Source organism: Homo sapiens, chromosome 4 (genome assembly GCF_000001405.40).
Source record: "Homo sapiens chromosome 4, GRCh38.p14 Primary Assembly".
NCBI classification, from domain to species: Eukaryota; Metazoa; Chordata; class Mammalia; order Primates; family Hominidae; genus Homo; species Homo sapiens.
The window spans coordinates 73094928-73102572 of NC_000004.12; the positions used below are offsets into that span (position 1 = coordinate 73094928).

The following is a 7645-nucleotide window of genomic DNA, read 5'->3' on the forward strand; positions in this document are numbered from 1 at the left end:
TGGGAGGCCAAGGCAGGCAGATCACTTTATGTCAGGAGTTCGAGACCAGCCTGGCCAACATAGTGAAATCCTGTCTCTACTGAAAAAAATACAAAAATTAGCCAGGCATGGTGGTGTGCACCTGTAATCCCAGCTACTCAGGAGGCTGAGGCAGGAGAATCACTTGAATCCGGGAGATGGAGGTTGCTGTGGACTGAGATTGCACCACTGCACTCCAGCCTGGGTGACAGAGTGAAACTCCTTCTCAGGAAAAAAGAAAAAATATTCATTACTTCCCTGTATTCTTATAGTAGCATTAAAATGACCATCCACAAATATGAAAACTTTCTAAAAATCTTTAATAATGTCCGGAAAAAGAAAATCCTACTAGAATTTAAAAAGCAAAATCTGAGGCCGGGCACGGTGGCTCACGCCTGTAATCCCAGCACTTTGGGAAGCCAAGGTGGGTGGTCCACCTGAGGTCAGGAGTTCAAGACCAGCCTGGCCAACATGGTGAAATCTCATCTCTACTAAAAATACAAAAAATTACCCGGGCATGGTGGCATGCACCTGTAATCCCAGCTACTCGGGAGGCAGAGGCAGGAGAATCACTTCAACCTGGGAGGCAGAGGTTGCAGCAAGCCGAGATCACGCCATTGCATTCTAGCCTGGGCAACAAGAGTAAAACTCCATCTCAAAAAAAAAAAAAAAAAAGCAATATCCATCTAATACTTGCAAAATTACATTTTAATTTTAAACATTCAGATATAGATTATAGATTTCCTTTATTATTATTTTTTTTTTGACAGAGTCTCGTTCTGTACCCAGGCTGGAATGCAGTGGTGTGATCATAGCTCACTGCAGCCTCAAACTCCTGGGCATAAGCAATCCTCCCACCTTTCCCAAGTAGCTGAGATTACAAGCACAAACCACATGCCCAGCTAATTTTTTAATTTTGTTTTTAGCAGAGATGGGGTCTTGCTATGTTGCCCAGGCTGGTCTTGAACTCATAGTCTCAAGTGATCCTCTTGTCTTGGCCTCCCAAAATGCTGGGATTATAGACATGAGCCACAGGTGTCAGGCCCGAATTCCTGATAAGCTGATTAAACAATATTTCTAAAAGAAATACAGTATAAAGTTCTCAATAAAGAGAAGCAGTCAAGTATAGTTCAATAAACAAGCAAATTATTTATTGAGAATGGTTAAGTATTAAAAATTGTCATATTTTCTAAAAGGAAGGGCATGATCCCTGTTCTCTATATATACAACTAAGTTACCTAACAACTCTTTTTAACCTAAAGAGCATGATAATCAGCCAGTGATCATCATTTCCAAACTGTATAACACAGTATTAAATGCATATACAAAAACCAAATTATCTTATTAGTGTATAGAGAATATTCTGATGATGTGATTTCAATTAATCCAATAGAGTGTGTATGTGAAGGAGTGAAAGAAAGAATGTGTGTATAGTGTGTGAAAATAGAGACAGAAATAAACATAGGTATGACGGGGACAAGATTTGGTCTAAAATACGGAGGAAATAAGCCAAAAACCTGTATACTGCACTTAGGGATTAACAGTAGTTACTAAGTTTGGTTCACTATAGCTTTTGTTTCAGATAACCAAAAGTTTAAATTTTTACGAAATTTCCGGAAAGTTCTTTAAAATAAGTTATCAAAGAGTGACAATGGATCACATTCTTTCTGGATTTCAGGTGTCTTACCTCCTTTTACGTTTCTGAGATATTGTATTTTTACTCTTGGATACATATTATTTTTAAAATCCCATGCAAAACAAAATATTTTTATCCTGAAACCCTTAAAATAAAGTTATCTTATGATTTAAAGACAACAGTTACTATGATTAGATCAACAGTTTAACATCAATACCTACTAATTCATCAAATGTTTACAAGTAGCTTTTATAATACTTCTTTGTATTATATAAGGCTTTGAGATAACGAAGCTGAGAAAGACACAATCTAAAATAGTTCTCAAAGCAAACTCCAATACTTTTGAGGGGCCAAATTAACACGTAATTTTTTTCATCTAAAATATGGCACAGGCTCTCTCTGTTGGTCAAATTTAGCCTTGAACCATCAGTTTGTTTGCAACCTTTAGAAGAGTAGGAGGAATTTAATTATAAGGTAGATAACACTTGACTGTGATATATAGCACATAAAAAGAATGACAAAAACAATTACTCACCTTCTTACAACTTCTTTCCATCCTTCTTCCCTCTTTTGCCCACGCTTAGGACTTGCTACTGTTAACTTCCCATTTGGAGAAGAAAGGGGAGATGGACCAGATTTTGTACAAGTAGATAGAGAATTACTGGTCCCTTCACTGATAGTTTCTGACAATCTTTAACAAAGAGAGGGAAAGTACATTAAATATGGAACAGATGTAGAATTTTTAAATGATAAAGGTAGTCTACTACCCAATTTTTAAAAATTTATTTTTAAATAACAAATGACGACCTTATTTTTCACTTCTCCTCATATTTAGCATATAATATAGAGAGCCTTTTTTTTTTTTTCTTTTTGAGACAGGTCTTGCTCTGTTACCCAGGCTGGAGCGCAACAGTGCAATCACAGCTCACTGCAGCCTTGAGCTCTCGGGTTCAGGTGATCCTTCTGCCTCAGCCTCCTGAGTAGCTGGGACCACAGGTGCATGCCATCACATTGGCTAATTAAAAAAAAAAATTATTTGTAGAGACAGGGTCTCCCTATGTTGTCCAGGCTGGTGTTGAACTCCTGGGCCCAAACAATCCTCCCACTTTGGCCTCCCAAAGAGCTATTATTATAAGCATGAGCCATTGCACCCAGCCTGAAGAGCCAACTTTAAGAAGATACTATCTAGGGTACACATTTAGCAGAGTTTAATCACAGTAATAATCCCTTGGAAACCACAATCCATATTTTTCATGTGCTAAGTTTAACAACCAAAAAAAAAAGAAATTACATAGTAAAAATAATTTGATGTCTCATTATATAAAATCTAAACAAAAGCTTATTCTTCAATTCAATTGAAACAGTACCTTCTTTAGCACAAAGAAAAATCCTATTTTGCAAGTTGCAAATTTACTTTCTTTACCAACAAATTCAGTAATAAGGTATTTCATGATGACACTATAAATATTGAAAATAAAAATTGGAACTAACTTTATTGAAGCCTTGCCAGAAACAGATTTTCTCTCTTCCTTTGGAAATGTAACAAGAACTGATGGCTGCTTTTTGCTGCTCACAGTGGTAGTGACCACAGCTGGTGAATGATTGTCACTCTTACGACTGCTGTTGCTGTTACTACTTTCATCGCTGCAGCTGGAAATCCTCATGTTATCACTGTCCCCACTCTCGCTGGTACTGCTGCTCTTGGACTCTCCATTCACCTTCTCTGGCTGACTGTATGAAATTGGTAGTGGATCATCAAATATAATTTGAACGTTTTCTGGAGTAATTTTATTTTTCCTGTTTTTCCTCTTTGAACTGGTTGTAGTTATGGTATTATTTCTTTTACCATGAGAACCTGCCAAAGTTGTCCAGGTTGCAGATATACCTATGGTAGTAGTGGTTGTGGCACTTGGAGGTTCTGTCAAGACTTCAGGCTCATCTGTAAAAGTAGCAATACTGAATTAGCAAGTTCTAAGTGTTCCCAGAATGTATTTAGCTATAAGCACTTGAAGAAAAGAAAAACCCAGGAGAGATACTCTACTACTATTAGCCATGTAAGTTATTCTCACATTCATCGGTAATGAGCTGGATAGGACTGATATACTCTGTGTACCCACGTTCTGTTCAAAGAATAGCAGGTAGTTATAAAAAATATTTTGGGGGGCATTTCTGGTGCTGGCGTGGCTCCAGGAAGGCCATTCCAGCCATCAATCTTCCACCTGCTCCTTAGAGAAGGGAAGATGAGTGAGTCGAGCTTGAAGTCCAGCCAGCCCTTGGCCTCCAAGCAGGAAATGGACAGCACTGAGAAGCGGGGCCGGGGCAGGCCCCGCAAGCAGCCTCTGGTGAGTTCCGGGACAGCACTGGTAGGGAGTCAGAAGGAGCCCAGTGAAGTGCCAACACCTAAGAGACCTTGGGGCCAACCAAAGGGAAGCAAAAACAAGGGAGCTGCCAAGACCCGGAAAACCACCACAACTCCAGGAAGGAAACCAAGGGGCAGACCCAAAAAACTGGAGAAGGAGGAAGAGGAGGGCATCTGGCAGGAGTCCTCAGAGGAGGAGCAGTGACCGTGTGTGCTGCCTGTGCCTCACTGAAGGAGCAGCTTCCTTCTGGGACTGGACAGCTTTTGCTCCGCTCCCACCGCCCCCGCCCCTTTCCCAGGCTCACCATCACCACTGCCTCCGGCTGCCACCCCCATCCTTCCACCTGCACCCTCACCACCACACTACACAGCACACCAGCCACTGCAGGGGCCCCATGGGCTGAGTGGGAAGCAGTTTTCCCCTGGCCTCAGTTCCCAGCTCCCCGCAACCACCCACACATACACACGTACCCTCCTGGACAATGCTAACATCCCACTTAGCCACACCCTGCACATGCTGCATCCCCACTCCCTTAGTAGTAGCAACACTGCTCTCTGGTGATGGGGGCACCCTCTCTGCTCCTCCACTGTTCCCTCTGGCTTCCCATAGTGTGGTCTGGGAGGATTCCCCTGGCCTTAAAAGGGGCCCAAGCCCCATCTCATCCTGGCATGCCCTACTCCACTGCCCTAGCAGCAGGTGTGGCCAATGGAGGGGGTGCTGGCGCCAGGATTCCCCCAGCCAAACTGTGTTTGTCACTATGTGGGGTTCACACTTTTCATCCTTTCCCACCTCCCCTAGTCCCTGCACTAGGTTGGACAGTCCCCTTTGGCTACAGGAAGGCAGGAGGGGTGTGAGCCTCTTACTTCCTCTTCACTGTGGCCCCAGCCCCGTTGCCCTCCACCTGGGATCTGAGTACACATTGCGGTGATGGAGATGCAGTCATTTATTGTCCAGGTGAGGCCCACAAGCCCTGTGGCTACCTGAGATGGGCTGGGGCCGCTCCCCCATACTTACTTTGCTTCTGCCACTCAGCCATTTCCCCCTCCTCAGAAGGGGCACCAATAACAAGGAGCTCACCCTGCCTGCTCCCAACCCTCCTGCTCCTCCCTGCCCCCCAAGGTTCTGGTTCCATTTTTCCTCTGTTCACAAACTACCTCTGGACAGTGGTGGTGTTTTTTGTTCAGTGTTCCATTCTTCGACATCCGTTATTGCTGCCGCTACCAGCACCAAATGTTCATCCTCATTGCCTCCTGTTCTGGCCACGATCCCCTCCCCTAAGATACTCTTTGTGGGGAAGAGGGGCTGGCACATGGCAGGCTGGGTGACCGACCACCCCAGTCCCAAGGAAGGTGGGGCCCTGCCCCTAGGATGCTGCAGCAGAGTGAGCAAGGGGGCCTGAATCGACCATAAAGGGTGTAGGGACCACCCCCTCCCCCTGTTCTGTTGGGGAGGGGTAGCCATGATTTGTTCCAGCCTGGGGCTCTCCCTCTGGTTTCCTATTTGCAGTTACTTGAATAAAAAAAAAAAACATATATATATATATCCTTTTCTCGGAGAAAAAAAAATTGGGGGGACAGTTTGGAAAATATAAGTATGTACTGTATATTACGTATTATTATGTAATTATTAAATTTCTTAATGTCGTTGCAGTTATGTAAAATAATGTCCTCTTTCTGGGAGATACATAATCAAGTATCTGGGGGTGATTTCACATGATATGTATAGCTTACCTCAAACAACTCAAAAAAAGAGAAGACACAACCCATGTGTGCCAAAATGTTTTAAAAATGTAGGTGACATAGAGGTATTTACCATATTAATCCTTAAAATTTTCTGTAGTTTGAAAATTTTCAAAATAAAATGCTGGAGAAGGGAAATTAAAAACAAAACAAAACAAAACACACACACACATACACACATTGCATGCACATATTTTTGGTGGTTTCATGGCAATGGTTCCTTCCCACAATACAGTCAGTCCTCTTTATCCATAGATTTAACCAACACTAGATTGAAAGTATTCAAAAAACAAAACAAAAAACAAATACGAATTTAAAAAATACAGTATAACAACTATTTACATAGCATTTGCGTTAGGTATTAGAGGTAATGTAGAGATGATTTAAAGTATATGGGAGAATGTGCATAATTTTTATGCAAATATTACACCATGTTATATAAAGACTTGAGTATCTGAATTTTGGTATCCGTGAGGGTCCTGGAAACCATCCCCTGTGGATATAAAGGGACAGGATTACTATACTTCCATCCCAAATAACCTTTTGATTATAACCTAGTTAAAAATGATTCCTTCATTTGAAGAAATCGATGATCTGGATTGTAGATGATATTATGAAATTACCATTTATAATACCTAAAATGGTATTATGATGATGTAAGCAAATGTCATTCTTGGGATGTGGGCTTAATTATTTATAGGTGGCTGGCGCAGTGGCTCATGCCTGTAATCCCAGTACTTTGGGTGGCTGAGGCAGGGGGGATCACTTGAGATCAGGAGTTAGAGGCTAGCCTGGCCAACATGGCAAAACCCCATCTCTACTAAAAATACAAAAATTAGGGGGACATGGTGGCACGTCCCTGTAGTCCCAGCTACTTGGGAGGCTAAGGTGGGAGAATAGCTTGAACCCGGGAAACGGAGGTTGCAGTGAACCGAGAGCATAATACTGCACTCCAGTCTGGGCAACAGACCAAGACTCGGTCTCAAAAAAAAAAAAAAAAAGGATTTATAGGCGCAATGTCAGGATGTCTGCAATTCTGCAATTTACTTTTAGATGGCTCAGAAAAAAATATGTACAAGTACTTAAAGAGAAAAATAAAGCAAATATGGTAAAATTTTAACAATTTTGTCAATCTAGGTGGAATGTATTCAGGTATTCATTTTATCATCTGTCAACTTGTCTGTAGTTTTGAAACTTTTCATAATAAAGTTAGGGAGGAATTCAGTCAACAAAAAAAAAGCATATATCTTTTCTTTTCTCTTTTTTTTGATAGAAGGTCTTGCTCTGTCACCCAGGCTGGAGTGCAGTGGTGCCAGATCATGGCTCATGACAGTCTCAACCTCCCAGGCTGAAGTGATCCTCCCACCTTACCTCCCCATCCCCCCAATCCCCAGTAGCTAGCTGGGACTACAGGAGTATGCTACTGTGTCCAGATAATTAAAAAAAATTTTTTTCCTTTTTTTGTATAGACAGTCTCACTTTGTTGCCCAGGCTGGTCTTGAACTCTTAGACTCAAGTGACTCGCTCACCTTGACCTGCCATAAAATGCTGGGATTACGGGCGTGAGCCACTGTGCCTGGCCTATGTTAAGGGGTTAATAACTTGAAAGCATATTTTCAAGAGTGACTGATAATCAAGTAAATATAATTTTAACTAGAATATAAAACAAATGGGATGGTTGTTAAGAGAAAATACCTTCAACTTTAAGCTTTTCTTTTTCTTGAGCAGCTTGGAGTTCAAAGTTCTCTTTATTTTTGGCTTCAATTTCTTCTAGTTTCCTTCTTTGTTCTTCCTTTTTCTTCCTTCTCTTCTCTTTTCTTTTTTCTCTTTTCGCAGCCAAAGCCAGCCTCCGACTTTCTTCCCTTAACTGTTAAAGATCAATAAAGCAGAAA

At 41.7% G+C, this 7645-nt stretch overlaps 1 protein-coding gene and 1 pseudogene across 17 annotated transcripts in view; one reads left to right on the forward strand and one right to left on the reverse strand.

Annotated features, from left to right (window-relative positions):
- The window catches only part of ANKRD17 (ankyrin repeat domain 17), a 185423-nt gene that overhangs the window by 21552 nt on the left and 156226 nt on the right, over window positions 1–7645 (reverse strand). For 12 of the 17 annotated variants that reach the window (XM_005265671.5, NM_198889.3, NM_015574.2 and 9 more), the window contains 3 exons: window positions 7449–7620; window positions 3146–3593; window positions 2190–2345 (listed from right to left, as the gene is read on the reverse strand). In XM_005265671.5, coding sequence (XP_005265728.1) covers window positions 2190–2345; window positions 3146–3593; window positions 7449–7620 — 776 coding nt within the window. Of the gene's footprint in view, window positions 1–2189; window positions 2346–3145; window positions 3594–5929; window positions 6247–7448; window positions 7621–7645 lie in introns of those variants that run through there. The other 5 variants (XM_047450046.1, XM_047450045.1, XM_047450042.1 and 2 more) reach the window with 1 other exon arrangement.
- Window positions 3814–5538, forward strand: HMGA1P2 (high mobility group AT-hook 1 pseudogene 2; annotated as a pseudogene).